Source organism: Homo sapiens, chromosome 8 (genome assembly GCF_000001405.40).
Source record: "Homo sapiens chromosome 8, GRCh38.p14 Primary Assembly".
NCBI classification, from domain to species: Eukaryota; Metazoa; Chordata; class Mammalia; order Primates; family Hominidae; genus Homo; species Homo sapiens.
The window spans coordinates 100,992,949-101,014,821 of record NC_000008.11 but is presented as its reverse complement, the minus strand read 5'-3'; the positions used below and the strand labels follow the sequence as shown (position 1 = coordinate 101,014,821).

The following is a 21,873-nucleotide window of genomic DNA, read 5'->3' as shown; positions in this document are numbered from 1 at the left end:
GCCCGGCCTTCTCACTCCTCTCAGAAGCTCCCCAGGGCAGCGATGCACCCCTGAGCATTCCCTTTATTGGCTTGCATCCCACTGCGTCTCACTTTCCCACTCCATGCCTCTGCTTCCTGGAATCACTTGCTGTATTCCTCTCCTAAGACTGCCTTAACAAATGACCCCAAACTTGGTGGCTTAAGACAACAGAAATTAATTTCCTTGCAGTTCTAGAGGCCAGAAGCTCACAATCCAGTTGGCAGCAGGGCTGCACTCACTCTGACGGCTCTAGGGAGAATCCTTCTTTGCCTCTTCTGGCTTCTGGGGGCTCCAGGCTTCCTTGGCTTGTGGCTGCATCACTGTAATCTCTGCCTCCATCTTCACACGGCCTTCTCCTCCTCTGTGTCCATGCCTTCTCCTCTTCTGTCTCTTCTAAGGACATTTGTCATGGGATTTAGGGCCCACCTGGGTAATCTAGGATAATCTCATCTCAAGATCCTTAACTTAATTACATTGACAATAAACTATTTTTCTAAATAATGTAACATTCACAGGTTGCGGGGGTTAGGACATGAATATATCTTTTGAGGGGCCACCATTCAACCCACTACATCTGCCAAATAAACAGCTTACACTCAAACTCTGATCCCAAGGTTTGCTTTGGATAGAACCCAAACAAAGTGGCAGCAAAAGAAAAACAGGTTAGCCAGTCCAAATCTCTCTACCACCAGGCATGTCTCATAGAAAAAATACAAAACAGGCCAAGTGCGGTGGCTCATGCCTGTAATCCCAGTACTTTGGGAGGCCCAGGCGGGTGGATCACCTGAGGTCAGGAGTTCGAGACCAGCTTGGCCAACATGGTGAAACCCCATTGCTACTAAAAATACAAAAAATGAGCCAGGCATGGTGGTGGGCGCCTGTAATCCCAGCTACTCTGGAGGCTGAGGCAGGAGAATCACTTGAACCCTGGAGGAGGAAGTTGCAGTGAGCCGAGGTCGCGCCATTGCACTCCAGCTTGGGCAACAAGAACGAAACTCCGTCTCAAAAAAAACAAAAAAAAAAGGCCAGGCACGGTGGCTCACGCCTGTAATCCCAGCACTTTGGGAGGCTGAGGCGGGCGGATCATGAGGTCAGGAGATTGAGACCATCCTGGCTAACACAGTGAAACCCCATCTCTACTAAAAATACAAAAAATTAGCCGGGCGTGGTGGCATGCACCTGTAATCCCAGCTACTCAGGAGGCTGAGGCAGGAGAATCGCTTAAACCTGGGAGGCAGAGGTTGCAGTGAGTCGAGATCGCGCCACTGCACTCCAGCCTGGGTGACAGAGTGAGACTCTGTCTCAAAAAAAAAAAAAAAAAGAAAAGAGAAGAAAAAATACCAAACAAATAGTTCATAAGGCTTATCAAACTTCAGCGCCTGTTTTATTCAGCATTGTATTCCCAGGGTTCAGCAGACAGTGAAAAATATTTTTGTGAACCCTTACTATGTGCCTGGCATAGTAAGGGTTCCAAAAAATATTTGTCGAATGAAGTCTCATCATTAGATTCCCAGGTAGAGAAATAAACCTTGATATTTTTTTCTCAAGTATTTTTTACTGCTTTATTGAAGCATAATTTGCATACCATAAAAGTTAACCATTGTAAATATCCAATGCAATGATTTTTAGTATACCTACACATCACTTAATGGCAGGACTACTTTCTTTTTTTCTTTTTCTTTTTTTTTTTTGAGACAGAGTTTTGCTCTGGTTGCCCAAGCTGGAGTGCAATGGCGCGATCTCGGCTCACTGCAACCTCTGCCTCCTGGGTTCAAGCGATTCTCCTGCCTTAGCCTCCTGAGGAGCTGGGATTACAGGCATGAGACACTACTCCCAGATAATTTTTTGTATTTTTAGTAGAGATGAGGTTTCACCATGTTGGTCAGGCTGGTTTCAAACTCCTGACCTCAGGTGATCTGGGCAGGGCTACTTTCTGAGAATGTGTCATCAGGTGATTTCATCGTTGTGTGAGTGCACTTACACAGACCTAGATGGTGTGGCCTGCCCCACACCCAGGCTACAAGCTATAGCCTGTGGCTCCTAGGCTACAAACCTGTATAGCATGTTACTGTACTGAATAATGTAGGCAATGGTAACACAATGGTAAATATTTGTGCACCTAAACATAGAAAGGGTACAATAAAAATATGGCAATATAATCTTATGAGGCCACCGTCGTATATGCAGTCTGTTGTTGACTGAAACGTCCTTAATTCAGTACATGACATTTATAGAGTTTGCAATCATCACTACAATCCAGTTTTAGAACATTTTCATCACCCCACAAACTTTCCTCGTGCCTATCTGCAGTCAACCCCACTTTCACCTCCAGCCTCAGGCAACCATTGATCTGCTGTCTGTATAGATTTTCCCTTTGTAGACATTTCATAAATGAAATTATATATATGTAGTCTTTTGCTTGTAGCTTATTGCATGTAGCATGTTTCGGAGGTCGATCCATGTTGTAGCTAGGATCAGTAGATCATTCCTTCTTGCCGAGTTATGTTCCATTGAATGGATATGCCACTTTTTGTTTACCCATTAACAGTGGATGGACATTTGGATTGATTCTAATTTGTGGCTATTGTGAATAATGTTACATAAGCATTCACATACAAGTCTATGTGTAGTCATATATTTTCATTTCTCTTGAGTAAATACCTGAGTAGAATCCAACTTTCTATCTTGAAAATTTTCAAAACCATAGAAAAGTTGAAAGAGTGGTACATCATATATACTTCACCTGAATTCCTCAATTGGTAACATCTTGCCATATGTGCCTTATCTCTCTGTCTCTATAAAATACATTTTGTGAACTATTTGAAAGAGTTGTAGACATCAGTCGGGCGTGGTGGCTCATGCCTGTAATACCAGCACTTTGGGAGGCTGAGGCAGGTGGATCACGAGGTCAGGAGATCAAGACCATCCTGGCTAACACGGTGAAACCCCGTCTCTACTAAAAATACAAAAAAATTAGCCGGGCGTGGTGGTAGGCACCTGTAGTCCCAGCTACTTGGGAGGCTGAGGCAGGAGAATGGCATGAACCCAGGAGGCGGAGCTTGCAGTGAGCCGAGATTACGCCACTGCACTCCAGCCTGGGCAACAGAGTGAGACTCAGTCTCAAAACAAAACAAACAAAAAAGAGTTGCAGACATCATGACATATTATCCCTAAATATTTCATCCCTGAAGAATAAAGTGGCCGGGCATGGTGGCTCACGCCTATAATCCCAACACTTTAGGAGGCTGAGGCGGGAGGTTCACTTGTGTCCAGGAGTTCAAGGAGCCTGGACAACAAGGCGAGACCCCATCTCTACAAAAAATCTTAAAATTAGCTGGGTATGATGGCACTTGCCTGTACACCCAGCTACTCAGGAAGCTAAGGCGGGAGGTTCACTTGAGTCTGGGAGGTCAAGGCTTCAGTGAGCCATGACTGTGCCACCGCACTCCAGCCTGGGTGACGCAGCAAGACTCAGTCTCAAAAACAAAACAAAACAAAAAAGAATAAGGCCATTCTCCTACATAACTGCAACGTCATTATCACGACAAAGTCTTTTAGCAACTTTATTTTGAAATTTTTCAAAATATTTTACAAAAAAATGAAAATAATAATACACTGAAGTGAACCTGGACTTTGTTGTAATTTCTCATATTTCTACTTTAACACTTTTGACCCTCAAATCCTCTCACTGCCACTCCTCCTAAATATTTGTGCAGGGCCATTCTTGGTGCATAGCCATGGAATATTCCTGACTTGTCACACCCTTACTTCTCTGCTGTTTATTCCCAGAGTTTTCAGTGTTGCTTTCACAAGACTCCAAGGTGCCTCTAGTGTCTTGTGCTGGGGGATATTACAAAATTCTCAAAGCTTCCCGCACCTCCATCGAGGCTTGGCTCAAATAACAGCTTCTCAATGACTTACCCTCCCTGTGCTATCAAACATTTCATCTGTCTACCTCCTCTCCTCACCCGCACTTCCTACCCCACTTACTCTGACATATTTTCTTTTCCTGAAGCACTTATCACCTTCTAACGGAAGCTATAATTCACACATTTGTTATATTTATGAATTGTCTCTCCTCATTAGAACATAAGCTCTATGAGGACAGAGACGGTTGTCTTTTGGGTTCAGTATTGTACCCCCAGGTCTGAGAACTGTACCTAGCACATCGAGTGCTCAATAAACATGAGCAGAGGGAGTGAGCAGATGCTGCCCGTGGGGAGATGTGTGGAGTGCCTCCTGCAGCCTCCAGGAGGAGCGGGGATGGCCTGGCCCTGACCTAATCATCCCCCAGGAGGTGTGGGGAAGGATCAGGGGTTTAGTCGTAATTAACATGCCAAATCCCAAGTGAAGGTTTCGGAAAACCACCAGACCTTTAAAAACTGAAAAATGGGCCAGGTGCTGTGGCTCATGGGTAATCCCAGCACTTTGGGAGGCAAAGGAGGGAGCATCACTTGAGCCCAGGAGTTTGAGATCAGCCTGGGCAATAAGGTGAGACCCCATCTCTACAAAAACTACAAAATAATTAGCCAGGTGTGGTGATGCACACCTGTGGTCCCAGCTATTCAGGAGGATCGCTTGAGCCTGCGAGGTCGAGCTGCAGTGAGCCGTGATTGCATCACTGCACTCCAGCCTGGGCAACAAGGCAAGACCCTGCCTAAAAAAAAAAAAAAAAGAAAAAGAAAAAAAACTGAAAAATGACTCCCCTACCCCTACTCCCTTTAGCAGTACAGACTAGAAATTTCCAAATAGGAAGTCTCCCAATACTTCTCTGAAGTTTTTTTTTGCATAAGAGAGAGCCACCAAGATTAACTCTCCAAGGACTACAAAGCTTGGAGCTCAGCCAGCCGTGGATTTCACAGAGGAGGCAAATACCACACCCACCATATCTTTAAAAGGCCCTTCCCAGGAGGCAGCACCTGCTGTCCTGGCAGCGAGGTTGTACCATGAGGCCCATCCTGCCCCTTCCTGGCCCCAGGTGTTTAGAAAGCTGGGGCACACCTAGCCTGACTAAGAAGCTTGGTTGCAGGCTGGCAGGGCCCTGGGGCGCCTGGGTGATGTGCTTTGCCTGCCAGGAGGGGCGGGTCAGCTTCTTGCTCTTGAGGCCTGAATTAGAAACTAGCAAGGGTCCTGTCTTCAGTGGGGAAAATGCTGAAAGGAAGCAGAAACAGAGACTTTGAGTCAGACGAGGGGCTCTGAGAGGCGGCGAGCTGGCAGAAGTTAGGAGAAGCATGGGGTAGTGGAAGCTCTGAGATAAAAGAAAGCCCTTCGAAGAACAGCAAGAAATAAAGAATTACACAAACCTCTGCCCCTGAGGTGCCTTGAGCTGCCCTGGACTCAGGATGATACCTGGTTCCAGTCTCTTCCAGGCCTGGCTACTCCACAATCCTGTTTTCCAGAAGTTTCCATCACTCTCACTGCTTTGCAATTTCTTCACCATAAACCTCATCGCTTGAACTAGGTTGAGTGACCTCTTCATTCCTTGCAACTCAAAGAATCTAGTCAAATAGAAACATATGAGTGTTGAGGTTGCGCCAGGTGGCTCACACTTGTAAGCCCAGCACTTTGGGAGGCTGAGGCAGGTGGATCACTTGAGTCCCAGCCTGGGCAACATAGTGAGACCCCCATCTCTACAAAACATTTTTAAAAATTAGGGGAGCATGGTGGCACGCACCTGTGGTCTCTGTAGAGTCAGACCTGTGGGATCTGACACTATCTTCCAGTAGACGATGTCAGAATTGAATCGGAGGGCAACCAGCTGGTGTCCACTGCAGAACTGATGGGCTGCTTGCTGATGGGGAGAAACCCCCTCATATTTGGGGATAACAGAATTCTCCTGTCTGTGTTGATAACTGTTGTTGTGTTAGTGTGAGAGCAGAGGAAAAACTGTTTAAGTTTATTCTTAATACTCACCTGCATAGACATTGCTTGTTAAAAAAGCAAAATCTAAGGCCCCATCTCAGACCTACTCAGCCCCAGTTAAATCATAGGAACATTAAGTTTCAGGACCACTGCTTCCTCTCACCCAGCTAATATTCCCAAACCCACTGTCCCAAGTGCCTTTGCACTCCTGGACTCCTACCTGCCACAGATTGGATAATCAATATCAGCAACTCTATTGGTATTAAAGCTATTGGCAAAGGTCATTGCCTGTAAGATTCAGGCTTCTTAAGGCTGTTCATTTGTCTGTAGACTTCAGATGTCTTTCATTAGGTTTTATTTACAATGTTATTGTAAATGCTTGTCTTTTTTCAGAGGTTCATCCTGTTTTGGTAAAATCCTGTTGAATAAATCCAAGGATTAAGAGACTCTGCCTACCCTACTCTTCCTCTACCCTGTTCTTTACAATAGTAGATGATCCCTAATGAGCATTTTAACTACATTCTATCAACATACCATCATCCTTGAGAAGTGTCTATAGTTTCAGGTCACAGCTTGTTTTCATCTCAAACACCAGAGAAAGAAAAACCCCTGTCAGGAGATGAAACACCAAGAAATACAATGTGATTATTTTTCCAGGAAGGATTTATGTGCCAGGTTCTTAAACCATGTGACCTCCAATGTCTACCACACAGGTCAGTCACTGGGCTGGGGGTGCTATGCCTTCAGGGTCGGCCACGCCCACCTGCATTTACAAGCCCACCAGCAGCTCCTTAGAAACAGGATCTGGAACCAGACACAGCTTAGTGTGCACCTTCTTCCGATTTGTCCTTCCCATCCTTCCTCCCTACCTCCTTCTTCTTCTGTGCCCTTTATTCATCTTTCCTTCCTCCCAGTAAGATGTATTGAGGGCTGACAATGGGTCACACATGGTGCTGGGTACCAGAGATGTGGCCATAAAGAAGACAGATGGGGGTCTAGCTCGTGGAGTTTATGTTCTAGCAGGCAGGACTCCAAAATCAGTCACCCATTGACTCACTTCAATGGTAGGTGCTATTGAGGAGAATTGCAGGATGATGGCCTTCTTTGAGATAAAATGATGTCTGAGCCAAGGTATAAAAGATAAGTAGTGGTGAATCAGGCAAAGGAAGAGGGGAGCACGCCCTTATTCTCTGCTGGCCCCATTCCCCATCCTGCCAGCTCAACTCTTGGATGCCCATGGAATGCCCCTGCTCCAACTTGGCATCTCCAGCTGTTGACTCCATCCTGAGCTTGCCCGATGCCCTGTAGTGCTGACAGCTCCACATCCCAGGCTTGGAGACTTGCCTCTGTTCTTGTCTGTATCTGACCTTGGCCTGGGCTATTTTCCATCCCACGTCTCCCATATTGGTGCTGACAGCTTACAAAGTCCCCACCCAGCTGGGTAGCAAGATATGGGATGGCATCACTTTCCTCTTAGTTTATTAGAAAGCACTTTTTTTTTCAAACAATTAATTTTGCTCTCAGCACCAGGACAATAACTCAGGCTCAATGCAGGGTTTATGTTTGTGGTGGGGGCCAGTCCTTCTGCAGGAGACCACAACTAACACAGTTGCATCTTCTCATTGCCAAGGAGCCTGCTGGATCTCGGTGGCATGGTGAGCAGAACCATGCTTGATGGGTCAGGGCAGGTTGCATCTTGCTGAAGGCCTCACACAGGCTAAACGGAGCCTGCAACGAGTGATGTTTCCCACAGCCTTCTCTCCAGGTAACATCCAAGCAGTTGCTGGATTCCTCCCTCACTCTGAATAAATTCAGGTGTTTTGCTAATTGGACAATGGCCTCTTTTTTTGTCAGAACATTGCAGGCATATTTTGGGGTTTCTGTTTGTGAAAAGGTGTTGCAGGAAGCATGATTCATTTGTTTATTAGGATGTTACCCTGTGTTTTGAAAAACAATTTGAAAGGCAAAATGGCCTCTGATGCCTTTAGCTTTTCTCATTGGGCCCTATGCTGTGAACAACTGCTCTTACCTTTAGTTTACAGAATCCCCATCTGGTTAGATACTTTGATTTATGTTGGCTGTGATCCAGAACAGCTGATTTGGTTTATTTTAAGGAGTTTTATTTTAAGAAACTTTTGACATTTAAGAATTTAATTGGAACAATCTGTACTCAGAAATTTTTTAATGCAGTCTAGAATTAAAAGATGTTCCTCAGAGCGTGCAAGGGTTTGGTTTAAAAAAAAACAAAAAAACAAAAACAGAACAAAACAAAAAAACGGAGAGGCAAGATGTGGTAGGAGAATCCTCAGGTCAGTACATCTGTCAGCAATGAGAGTGGACAGAGTAGCTATTTCTAAAATGAACTATTCTAACCCTCACATCTATTCCTTAAGCTCTGCTGGGGTTGACTGTCTGCCACAGGCCAGCTACAGGGAGACGAAGGGCAGGTTGCACACCATCCCACCAGCTCTTATCAGATGGTCAGGCCTCAACTGAGATGCATTCAGGAAATTTGCCTCATTCCCTTGACCAAAGGCCAGGTTTTCCCGGTTCTGAGAGCCAGAAAGAAACCAAAGTGAACTTCAGAGTCCCTGCACACTGAGAACTGAAATCATAACTGAAAGTTCAAGAGCCTGGGGAGGTTTGAGACTCCCGAGAAGGCCCCAGCTTCTAGAGATTGGCCTGAATCTCTATGGACATTCTGCACAGTCCACGGAATTCTTAGTACTTTTAGTGAGCTGGAGCTGATCTGTGATCCCTGAGATCGCTGCAGATAGAAGCAAAGAGTGTCAACCAGGCCCCTAAAGCCCAATAAATCAAAATAAATGCAAGAGATGCTTGTGCTTACCAGACCTGGGTAGTGACCTGCAAACCACACTGCGAGCCCCAGCTTCTCTCCCAAATTCCACCTTTGCTTCCAGGAATTGCCCCATGTGTGTATTCAGACTCAGCGAGCCAACTCTGAATTCTTGCATATTTCTACAGATGGCACTGCCATTCTCTATTCTCCCAGCCACGTCTTAGTGTCACTATTCACCTCATTTGACTGCCATAAGGCTCAATAATTAGTTGTACGCAACTAATTGGTCCAGTTTCTAAATCTCCTCAATCCTGTCTCATTGTCTAATTTAAAAAAAATTTTTTAGAGATAGGGTCTCACTATGTTGCCTAGGCTGGATTTAAACTCCTAGTCTAAGCAATCCTCTTGCCTCAACCTCCTGAGTAGCTAGGACTACATATGAACGCCACTGTGGCTGGCTTCATCATCTATTTTTAAAAATACCTACCTTTGGTGAGACGCGGTGGCTCACACCTGTAATCCCAGGACTTTGGGAGGCCAAGGCGGGCGGATCACAATGTCAGGAGATGGAGACCATCCTGGCTAACATGATGAAACCCCATCTCTACTAAAAATACAAAAAATTAGCTGGGCGTGGTGGCAGGCGCCTGTAGTCCCAGCTACTCGGAAGGCTGAGGCAGGAGAATGGTGTGAACCCGGGAGGCGGAGTTTGCAAGTAAGCTGAGATTGCACCACTGCACTCCAGCCTGAGCGATAGAATGAGACTCCGTCTCAAAAATAAATAAATAAATAAAATACCTACCTTTGGCCAGGTGTGGTGTCTCATGCCTGTAATACCAAGATTTGGGGAAGGGGGTGGCCAATGTGGGAGGATTGCTTGAACCCAGGAATTCGAGACCCACCTGTGCAACAGAGTAAGACCCCATCTCTACAAAAAAACGTTTTTTTTAATTAGCTGGGCGTGGCATACCTGTAGTCCCATCTACTCGGGAAGCTGAGGTGGGAGGATCGCTTGAGCCTGGGAGGTTGAGGCTGCAGGGAGCTGTGATCTCACCACTACACTCCAGAGTTCGAACTTTATTTGAGAAATGAAGAGGAGGAAAGATTATTAACTTTTTAAGGCACTTACTGTGTGTTAGCTCTATTAGGCATTTGCACTGAAGGTTAGATCTAACATAGCCTTCCCACCAAGCTTTGTAATTACAACTCCTGTTATTCTACTTGTATCTTACTCCAGGTAAACTGGCCTGGCCATATATTTCTTTTTTAGCTGCCTTTCATCCTAGTCAATAGGCCACACTTTCTTACTTGCACAAGCCTGCATTCTCTCCCCACTGCATATCTTCAATTATATTCTTCTCTCTCTCCATCATCTCCCAACCCCATCACCAGGGTAGGTGCAGTGCTACACATCTTTTAAGGTCCATTGCTGGTATTCTGGTACATATTTAATAACCAGCTCTCTGGGCAGGTAAAACTCTGATTTGTAGTGTTTGTCCATTTTTCTTTTGGTTTGCCACAGCCAATTTCGAGCTACCAGTCTGATATCAACTGGATGACAAAATTTCTGAAAAAATTAGCTATCATTTCTCAAAGACTAGTATGAGCTGGCTCTAGCACATCACTGAGCCTCAAACGTCACTGGTCTTGACATCTCCAATCTATAGTATACTTTCCCTGCTTTGAACTTTGTTAGTAACTTACATTCTCTCACGAAAAGTATTCTGCATTATATTATAGTTATAATGAACCCTGATTATCATCCCATCTTAGATTATTAACTTTTCAAGTGCATGACCCATCTTACTCATCTATGTATTCACAGTGATGCCTAGAACAATAATGGTGTTCAATAAATATTTGCTGTATTAGACAGATGATGAAGATTATCACCAGGGCTTGACTCAGTTGTGGTGAGGATACAATGACATCATGTATGTAAAGCACTTTCCAGAGTGCTTGGCCCTGCAAGTGCTTAATTAGTAACAGCTAATTTTACTATTGGCTGTGGCTTCTGGAATTCAGAGAGCACAAGTAACATCAATTCTTAACAACTCCTCTCTCCCCAACAGACACACACATTAGTCACTTGGGCAACATTTACAAACCGCAATGCCCAGGCCAATATATTTTTAAATTTCCCCAAGTGATTCTGTTGTGCCCCAAGCTTCTGAGAACCAGCATCCTACATGCTGCTAATCTTCTCTCTGGATAAGGAATCCAAAATATCAAAAAGGAAATGACCTCTAAATAGAACCAGCTACCCCTTTAAAAATCCTCCTGTTCACTAAACAATTCCAGTCAACAGGAGGAAAGCTCACTCGAAGGATTGCCTTATTTGGTGAAGTCTGGGTGGGGTTACCTGGGAGGAAAGGCTGAGAATGAGTAATGCAGCGTTCTGCTGGGGCAGGAGAGAAATACCTCTTTGTCAGCAAACTCCTGTAAGTGAAGTTCGTCAAGCTGGCAGAATTTTAGAGGCATCTCATTTAAATTAGATCTGGCCTTTGTGATGATTTAGTGCAAACCAAACGTAAGTAAGTTTCATCTCAATAAGCATCTGTGTGTTTACCCAAATTATCTTGTTCCTCCAGATTTTTTTTTTTTTGAAATGGAGTCTCACTGTGTCGCCAGGCTGGAGTGCAATGGCGCTATCTCGGCTCGCTGGAACCTCTGCCTCCCTTGTTCAAGTGATTCTCCTGCCTCAGCCTCCCACGTAGCTGGGACTACAGGCATGCGCCACCATGCCCAGCTAATTTTTGTATTTTTAGTAGAGACGGGGTTTCACCATGTTGGCCAGGATGGTCTTGATCTCTTAATCTCGTGATCCGCCCGCCTCGGCCTCCCAAAGTACTGGGATTACAGGCATGAACCAACACGCCCGGCCTTGTTCCTCCAGAATTTTATCAAAACAACTAGCTACCAAGGCTCAAAATGATTCTTTTTCTCATAAAATATTTGTGGTAATGAGAATGGACTTCAAATCAAGACAATAATGCATTTCTAGCTTTGAGAAGTAGGTACTACTTTCCCCTGATAGTTGGTGAAACTGAAGCATTGTGAGACTTGATCGGCCCAAAGTGACACAGGGGGAGCCCAAATATGAAGCAAGAGATTCCTGTTCTCATCACTTGACACATTTCATCTTTATGGATATTTAGTGATTGTGGTTTCATCACGTATCTCTCATGTTAAAGATATTCACCAAAAAAAAAAAAAAAATCCTTCTGAAAGAATTTGCTCCGAAAAGTAAATAAAGCAATTCTGCTTCAATAGTGTAGTAGAGATTACTCTTTGTTTTTATGAGAGTGATAGCCTGGTGGCTCACTTTAAAGGAGAGACAGAAGAAGAAGATGTGTGTGTTACAGTCAAATTTTAGAGGTCTATGCTAATTTTCTTTGATGCCTCTTACTATAAGTGACTATTTAAGGAATCATTTGCTTTCTTTTTTTTTGCCTTGAGACAAGGTCTCGCTCCAGGTCACCCAGGCTGGAGTGCAATTCCACAATCTCAACTCGCTGCAACCTCTGCCTCCTGGGTTCAAGTGATTCTCCTGCCTCAGCCTCTCAAGCAGCTGGGATTATGGGCTCCTGCCACCACACCCACCTAATTTTTGTATTTTTAGTTGAGACAGGGTTTCGCCACGTTGGCCAGGCTGGTCTCAAACTCCTGACCTCAAGTGATCCACTCGCCTCGGCCTCCTAAAGTTCTGGGATTATAGGCATGAGCCACCGTACCTGGCCACAAAATGAACTTCTTAAAGAAACTCTTAGCAGAACCTCATACTTTAGATCAAGGCTCCATAATGTCACAAACCCTTCAAATTTGGTTCCTATATAAATCACATCCTTAAAACCATGACTTACCTTTCTAATACTTTTTCTCTGTTCTAACATTATACATTAATAGAGGACATATATGTGTCATACCAACTTCCAATATATCACATTTATTCCTAAGGATCACCAAGGAGGACCACTGAATACCACTATGGGTAGAGCACAGAATCAGGACTCAAAAAGTTTACTGTCTGTTATCCTCAAATATTACAGGGATTTTGAGTCACCAGATGAAGTTACAAGTCTGGCTATAGAATCAGTCTGACCAGAAGATCTAGCAGATTGTACTTGTTACTGCAAATTTAAAAGGAGACAGTAGCAGTAGAATGGGAAAGTTCCATCTTCGTGCTCTTTGCACAAGGACTCTGTAATATCCTTTCAGCCAGACTGTGTGAACACAGGCAGAACATCTCAGACTCCCCTTGTCTTGAGACAATGAGAAGGGTTGTAGAAGTTTTCTGAGTTCTCTGAAATCTGGGTTCTGTCCAGAATCACAGTCACCTAAAATCTGACTTCCTGTCACTGTTGCAGCAAATAAGGGTTGGGCACCCAATATCCACAAGTGAGAAAGAGTGGTTAATCTTTCTCCTACAAAAAAACGTTTTTTGTAGGAGAAAACAAAACGTTTTTCTCAATTAACCTTGCACATAACAATTATCAATTAACCTTGCACATAACAAATAGCATTAGCTTACATAAGACAGAAGTTTCTTCCTTTCTTTCTCTGTCCTGTGGAAGATCCACTGTAGGGCTAGTACAGCTATTGCAGGGGTTTGGCCACCCACACTCCACTCTCCTCAGCACATGGTTCCCACCTCACAGTTCAAGATGGCTGCTCAAAACCCACTTAAGAGGAAGAATAAAGGGAAAGGGGAAGAAGTAAAGAGACTAAGAGCATATATCAGCCATCTTTCTGTCAAGTTTCCCAGGCACTGCCTTCCACTCATATTATGTTGGACACCACTGAGTCCAGTCAACAACATGTAGCTGCAAGGGAGCTTGGGAAATATGGTATTTACAGTGCATAGTCATCGGCTGAGGTAAAAACTGGCAGTTCTGCTACAAGCAAGGAGAACAGATATTAAGGTCAGAATCCAGGGGTCTCTGCCACAACCTGACTAATGTCAGTGCTAATGTTCAAGGTTGAGAGGCTGCCATAGTTAAGTGTAAAACTTAGAATTCAGGAAGCTTGGACTATATTCTTATTTCTACCCAAGTATCCAAGTGACCTCAGTAATCTCACCAGTAAAACAGATATGTCATTGCTAAAAATTGAATGTGATGCATGATGTTATAAGAATAATCAGCAAATTAGTGAATTGCATTTTTGTGTGTTTCCGCTCACAGGCCATAACTACTTGTTTAAAGCGTCTGCTGAATTAATCACCTGATCTGAAGCACAAACTTATGAAATTCAAACACCCCCACAGGAGAAAATAGAATAGTTGAAACTTTGAGTTGAAAGGGACATTCAAGGATGTCTAATTCAACCCTCTCTCCCCATGTAGAAATCTCTGCCAAGTAACCCTGACAGATGGTCTCCTGTCTTGTGCTTAAGCACTCCTACAGTGTGTTATTTTGCAGTTCCATTGATGGACAGCTCCAATTGTCAGATAGTTCGTCTGGATAGTGAACAAAAACTCCTTCCCCTAAACCCCCATCTCCTGAAATAACAGAGAACAAAGTCGTTCTTTTCATGATAGTCCATCTACTAATGGAAGACAGTTTTTTTGTCTGTTAGTCTTCTCCTCAAGCTAAACATTCCTGATGGTTGCAACTGTTTCTTAAGTAACCAGGTACCTGTCTCTCTCACCATCAGGATATTTTTCTCTACATTAGTGTTTCTTGAACTTTGTTGACTATGACCTACAGAAATAAATTCATTTTATATATGATTGGTACACATAAACATACATAGAACTGAAACAGAAGTTTCATAAAACAATATTTAGCCTCATTAGCTGCCATAAACTCATATATTTTCTCATTCAACTCTATCCTACTCTATTGTGTGCAATATTTTTTTTTTTTTTTGAGACGGAGTCTCGCTCTGCACCCAGGCTGGAGTGCAGTGTGGCACAATCTCGGCTCACTGCAAGCTCCACCTCCTGGGTTCACGTCATTCTCCTGCCTCAGCCTCCCGAGTAGCTGGGACTACAGGCACCCACCACCATGCCCAGATAATTTTTTTGTATTTTTAGTAGAGACGGGGTTTCACCGTCTTAGCCAGGATGGTCTCGATCTCCTGACCTCGTGATCCGGCTGCCTCAGCCTCCCAAAGTGCTGGGATTACAGGCATGAGCCACCATGCCCGGCCCTTTTACTATTTTTTTTAATGCTGGTTGCTATCCATTTTTAATGGGATTCATACTCATTCATGGGTAGCAACTCATAGTTTGAAAATCACAGCTCCAGATGCACTCTGACCTGTAAATGTGCTTAGAAGGTACTGTTCTGATACTGCAGGCTGATCTGAGTGAGCAAAAGGAGCTTCTACTTCCTGATTCCAAAACTTGGTGTCTTTATTTTAAGGTAATCGATGTGCATTGAATTTTAAACTCACACTATCACACTGTTGACTGAGCATCTGAGTCACTTATAATTATAATACTTTCTCTGGGCCAGGCACAGTGGCTCACACCTGTATCCCAGCACTTTGGGGGGCCAAGGCAGGAGGATTGTTTGAGCCTAGGAGTTTGAGACCAGCCTGGGCAACATAGTGAGGCCAAGTCTCTACAAAAAGTAAACAAAATTAGCAGGGCATGGTGGCACGTGCCTGTAGTCCCAGCTACTCGAGAAGCTGAGGCAGAAGGATGGCTTGAGCCCGGGAAGTAAAGGCTGCAGCGAGCTGTGATCGCACCACTGCACTCCAGCCTCTGCGACAGAGACCGTCAAGAAAGAAAGAGGCCGGGTGCGGTTGCTCACGCCTGTAGTCCCAGCACTTTGGGAAGCCGAGGAGGGCGGATCACAAGGTCAGGAGTTTGAGAGCAGCCTGGCCAATATGGTGAAAACCCCATCTCTACTAAAAATACAAAAATTAGCTGGGAGTGGTTGTGCAAGCCTGTAGTCTCAGCTACTCAGGAGGCTGAGGCAGAAGAATCGCTTGAACCCAGGAGGCAGAGGTTGCAGTGAGCCGAGATCATGCCACTGCACTCCAGCCTGAGCGACAGAGTGAGACTCCGTCTCAAAAAAAAAAAAGAAAAAGAAAAAGAGAAAGAAAGAAATAGAGAAAGAGAGAGAAAGAAAGAAAGAAAGAGAGAGAGAAAGAAAGAAAGTGAGAAAGAAGAAAGAAAGAAAGAAAGAAAGAAAGAAAGAAAGAAAGAAAGAAAGAAAGAAAGAAAGAAAGGCAACCTTAAGAGTTGGTAATAGCTGGACAAAGTGAGAATCACATGCTGGAAGGCACAGAGGTGAGAAAAACACAGGTAATGTGAATAGCAAAGAACAAGAACACTTCTAGAGAACTTCAAGAAGGGCACGGCTTTGAACACATTGAACAGAAGCTATTTACTTGCCACATGTACAGGATAAGGCCATGATGAGCAAGCCAAAGGAGCTGGCCTGTGTCTGTGTTCTGTGAAGGACTCATATCTGTCTACCGAGGAGCCTGCAGAGGTTAGTGGCAGCTTGAGGACTCTTAATGCCTTCACTACCTGTGGATTCTCAGTTCCCATTGCATCAGTCAAAGCTAAAAGTTATTGGCCAAAGTGAAAGAGAAATAGAGAAGAAGAGATGGAGTTAGCAAGAAAGGGAATGGTTTTCTTTTGATCTTCACTCCAAATTCCAGATTCAGACCAACAGAGAGAGTATTTTTTTTCTTTTTCCTTGATTTTTCTCTTTTTTTAAACTGGTAGTTATTTTGGTTTTTAAATTAGTAATTGGCATTGCATTCTTCATGGTCCAAAACTCAAAAGGTTCAAAAAAGATATGTGGTCAAGTTTCCTTCCCTCCCCACCTCCTGCTGTACAATTTCTCTCCAAGACAAGCAATGTAAGCAGGTTTTGTTTATATTTCCAGAGATCTATGTGAAACCAACCCAGCAGTTCCATACACAGTAGTAGTAGTAGTAGTAGTAGTAGTAGTAGTAGTAGTAATAATAGTAATAGTAGTTGTTGTTGTTTTGGATAAACATAGAAATTGACCCTTCTGGTCTTAAAGCTTAAAACTTACATTTGTTTTATCTGAGTTCTTGCCTCAGGAAAGAACCCCAGCCCTCTCAAAAAGTATCAAAGAACTAAAACTCACCAGATCATTTTATCCAGACAATGAGATGCTGGACCCCTCATTCATCATGATTGCTTCCTTACCCCTCCCAAATTCCCGTTTTCTCACGCATAGCTACATTTCTTCCCAGCTATATAAATCCCTCATTTTAGTCGCTTAGGGAGATGGATTTGAGACAGATCTCCTATCTCCTTGACTGCAGTGCCAGATTAAAGCATTCTTCCTTGGCAATGGTTGTCTCAGTGATTGGCTTTCTGTGCAGCGAGAAGCACAGAAACTGGTATTTGTTTTATCTGAGTTCCTTCCTCAGGAAAGGAACTTCAGGCCTCTCAAAGAAAGTATCAAAAACTAAAACTCACCAGATCGAGGCACCAGATGCCTCCTTGCCCCTCCCCTAGTTCTTGTTTTCTTACACATTGTTGCATTTCTTCTCTGCTGTAAAACCCTGGGTTTTAATCAGTCAGGGAGATGGATTTGGGGCTGAGCTCCCATCTCTTGCGTCACCCGATTAAAGCCTTCTTCCTTGGCAATACTTGTCATCTCAGTGATTGGCTCTCTGTGCGGTTAGCAGGAGGGCCTAGACTGAATCCCTGGTGTTTCAGGAACAAAATCACAGCACAATATGCACACAGACAATATAGTACTTGTTTTTTCTTGCTACAGAATTCTTAAAATTGACCAAATCAAGAAAGGAAAAAAAATTTAAGTGAAGAAAAGGAAGCTAGTCTTAAGGAATAAGAAAACTAATGAACAGCAATGAGACAGCAAAAAAATTTTTTTTAATATATGTATATATTTGGTTTTTTCCCCAGCCACACTGTTTATATATAATAACTCAACTTCTCAGGAAGAAAGAAGAGTTTGTAGGGAAAATATATATATAAAGGGAAATATCGTTGGCTCTTCTAGGTGTTTACTAAGATCCTTGAATTGTTTTTATAAAAAGCTTATAATCTGCTGTCAGATATAAGAAACATGATAAAAGAACATTGTGAAGAGTTATACTGTGCGCTTAAAATATTACGCAAGCTTGAAGAGTCAAAAAACTACACATGACTCTGCAAACTTCAGAAATATTAATCCACTGACAACAGGGCCATCTAATTTTCTCTTTTACGCTACCAGATTGATGAAGAAAATAGGGAAAGAATGTTCAAGCTGAAATGAATAGAAAGAACATTATAAATGAGTAACAGGATAATTAAAGCATGAAGCAGCCTTCTACGTCTCAAGATAATGGTAATGGTAAATGTAGTTTTAGCTAATTAATTGGTAAAGAACAAATTTGCATCAGTGACTGTCTTACATTTAAATATGAAATACTTTTGCTTTGCTAGAAGCTGAGAATGGAATTATCATGAAGCATGTAAAACAAATAGCTTTGGGCCACCAAAAGTATAATTACAAGTCAGAAAACCCAATGTGAATTAGTCCTGCAGAAACAATCTTCACTCTACACTATAGAAGTCTTTGGGATTCATGGAGGGTAAATCTTTCCACTAAAACATTTCCTCTTCAAAATGCTTTACTGCATGAGAAAGTCAGTTTCATGGCATTTTGGACCCAACATGTACCCAACCAAAAACAATATTGCCCAGTTTGAGGGATCAGTTGCCTTATTCATCCAACCTGATCCCTGATAACTTTTGGCAGTTTCTAAATATCAAACCCACCCTCAAAAGAGGAGAACTTGTCAATCTGACAATGCGCAAAAGAAAGTGTTATAGACAGGCCTGGTGTGGTGGCTTATGCCTGTAATCCCAGCACTTTGGGAGGCCAAGGCAGGCGGATCATTTGAGGTCAGGAGTTCGAGACCAGCCTGGCCAACCCCATCTCTATTAAAAATACAAAAATTAGTCAGGTGTGGTGGCACGCACTTGTAATTCTAGCTACTCGAGAGGCTGAGGCAGGAGAATCACTTCAACTCCAGAGGTGAAGGTTGCAGTGAGCCAAGATCATGCCACTGCACTCCAGCCTGGTTAACACAGCAAGACTCCCATCACACACACACACACACACACATACACATACACATACACACACACACACACACACACAGAAACAAAGTGCCATAGACTCAGAAAGTAATGTACCAAAAGAAGAATTCCAAAACATTAAAAGCAAAGTCAGCTACGTTAAAATAAATGCATGGTGGTATCCTATCACTGTCTCCCAAGTTACTTGGAAGAGGACATGCTAATTTAGACAGTTAAGTGCTAGGAGACTTGCTATAAATCAGCATCATTACTGTATAGTCAAACCTCACAAACTAATTTCCAGAGGAAATCCAATCTTCCAGGCTTAGAGAAGGATAACAAGAAGCAAATCCAATAACTGTCCTGCAACTTGAAATTGATTTTCAAATTAATTAATTCTGTAACTGAATCTTAATTTCATTTAAAAAAAATGCATAGAAACAAAAACAAAAAAAATGTACTAGAACATTTTTATGGATCAGATTACAGGGGATTTTTATCCTGTACTCCTCTAAAGTTTATTTCCTGCATTTCCCACAGCAATTATGTAGTACTTTGGTAACCAAGAGCAAAGAAAAAAGTTTAAAACTGAAAACATAATTTTTCTATGTGGCTATGTATTTCTTTTCCCCAATACGGTAGGCTATCATCCTAAATATTTTTGAGCTGATCCAAGTTCCACTTTATTGTTCTCAATAGAAATCCTAGGTAGACCAGAAGACAAAATGAGAAATAGAAACTAAAATATAAATCACCTTTCTGAAATTAATAGGTTTCCCCCCACCATTGCTGCAAAGCAACTTAAACACACCTTTTTTCCAACCTTTTTATGTCAAAGACACACAGGTATTTTCTTTTGTGTTTTCTCTAAGGGGGAAATGGTAGAATGGGCTCCTCTGTCCTCCCCAGTATCCTCCCTTGTCTCTTCCCTTCCCTCCTCAAGCAGTAATTTGGCCTCCCTCTATGATATACTGGGTATTTAGAGCCCTAAATGGGCTTTTGCCTTTTGCCCTTGGAAATAATTTCTACATTTTTTTAACCAATCCTGCCAGCAGGTCAGGATAAATACCCATGTTAGAAGTTGGCCCCAGGTTCTATCCTCCTTCTTTGACAGCCTCCCTTCTGGGGCCTTGGGGGACTCCCTTGGGAAGTCTTCTTGACTGCTGGGGGTGGGGCACCAACTTGGAGGACCTGGATGCCGTAAGGGAAGGAAAAGGACTCCATGGTCAGGTAAAAGGGCATCTGTGTCTACACCCAGATACATCCTGACCTTCTGAGGTCTATTGTGTGTGCAAGAGCTTCCCTGGCTTCCTTCTTCAAATGCAGACACCCAGTATGGTGGTGTGACCTTGAGAAGCGACTGTTCCAGTTCTTGGAGAGCGAGTTGAACTGGATGATCCTCAAGCCCTCAGACAAGCTGTGATTACAATTCCAGTTTACCCTAATATACTTCAGGGTATATGAGGACATAGGGGAGAACTTTCTCCCAGGCCTCGTTAGTAAAAAGAGTTGTGCTTTTCCAGGGCTGGTGTGGTTTTTTTCTGGGAGCTGGGAATCATGCAACAGTTGACACTTTCCTTCTTGCCACAAGGCTTAGCGAATTTGTGGTCTCCCTCTAGCGAATATTTAGGGCTTTATGGCATGCATTTGCTATGCAAATCTCCCTGTGGTTCCCAACTGACTTTACCTTTGTTTTTCTTTTCACCATTGTTCTTGTTTTTATAGTACTTTTCTTCTATCTTGTTACATTGTATTCCGTCTTAAAGCTTCTTAAAGCCTCTTTGGAACAAGGTAGAATATAAATAATGTCAAATCACTTTTTAAAATACTAGGAGTGTTCATTTTTCTGCTTATTTTGGTCATCTTATCACAGTTTCTCCCTAAATCCAAAAGCAAATCTCAGCTCTATCATTCTGATTATGCAAATACCTTAAACTACAAATATTTGATATAATTAAATTATAAATTTCTAGAGAGCAGAGATCAGGTCTGATAAGGCATAATGCAGTTGTGGTAGGCAGAAACAGCCCTGGGCTGGAAGTTTTATTTCCAGTTCTACTGAGCACTACGTGTTTGACCTTGGGCAGGGCCCTTCTCTCTGGATCTCGGTTTCCTTATTTATAAAATGAAGGGTTTGGACCAAGTCACCTCTAAAATCCCTTCCAGCTCTGAAATTCATTGACTCTCTGACCTACTGTGGGCATTTAATAAATAACAAGCACACTTCCAGAGAACCTAAAGAATGGCTTGCATAGGCTGGGCGCGGTGGCTCACGCCTGTAATCCCAACACTTTGGGAGGCTGAGGCAGGCGGATCACGATGTCAGGAGTTCAAGACCAGCCTGGCCAATATGGTGAAACCCCATCTCTACTAAAAATACAAAAATTAGCAGGGCGGGGTGGCTCATGCCTGTAGTCCCAGCTACTTGGGAGGCTGAGGCAGAATAATCACTTGGACCCAGGAGGTGGGGGTTGCAGTGAGCTCAGATTGCGCCACTGCACTCCAGCCTGGGCAACAGAAGGAGCCTCTGCCTCAAAAAAAAAGAAAAAAAAGAGTGACTTGCGCTTGGACACCTCTGTTAACAAACATTTACTTGGCATTTCACCCGGTATGTGGCTGTGGTTAAGGGACAAATAAGAGATTGCTCTTTTGGGTCCTGCAGAGGCCTCCAGACATAAAGAGGAGGCTTCCGCACTTGATTGTCCCCACTGCGTGAGGGTTCAAGTCTTTATACCATCTCTAGAAGGTGAAACTCTGCCAGCATGAAGAACCAAAGGTGAGGCCGGGCGCAGTGGCTCACACCTGTAATCCCAGCACTTTGGGAGGCCGAGGCAGGTGGATCACCTGAGGTCAGGAGTTTGAGACCAGCCTGGCCAGTATAGTGAAACCCCATCTCTACTAAAAATACAAAAATCAGCTGGGCGTGGTGGCAGGCACCTGTAATCCCTGTTACTCGGGAGGCTGAGGCAGGAGAATTGCTTAAACCCGGGAGGCGGAGGTTGCAGTGAGCCGAGATCACGCCATTGCACTCCAGCCTGGCTGGAAAAAAAAAAAAAAAGGAAAGAAAATAAGAACCAAAGTCACAGGGGAGTGAAAGTGGCATTCATGAGAAAGGAAGTTCATCTGCTTTTACAGAAATAAAATGGTATAGGCCTTT

General features: G+C 43.4%; 1 long non-coding RNA gene across 1 annotated transcript; it reads right to left on the bottom strand.

Annotated features, from left to right (window-relative positions):
* Nucleotides 1-5,066: 5,066 nt before the first annotated feature.
* On the bottom strand, nucleotides 5,067-5,858 carry LOC401471 (uncharacterized). Its single transcript, XR_001745729.2, has 3 exons — nucleotides 5,696-5,858; nucleotides 5,325-5,519; nucleotides 5,067-5,172 (listed from the first exon to the last, which is right to left on the bottom strand). It is a non-coding gene; the product is annotated as an uncharacterized LOC401471 (long non-coding RNA).
* Nucleotides 5,859-21,873: the final 16,015 nt, after the last annotated feature.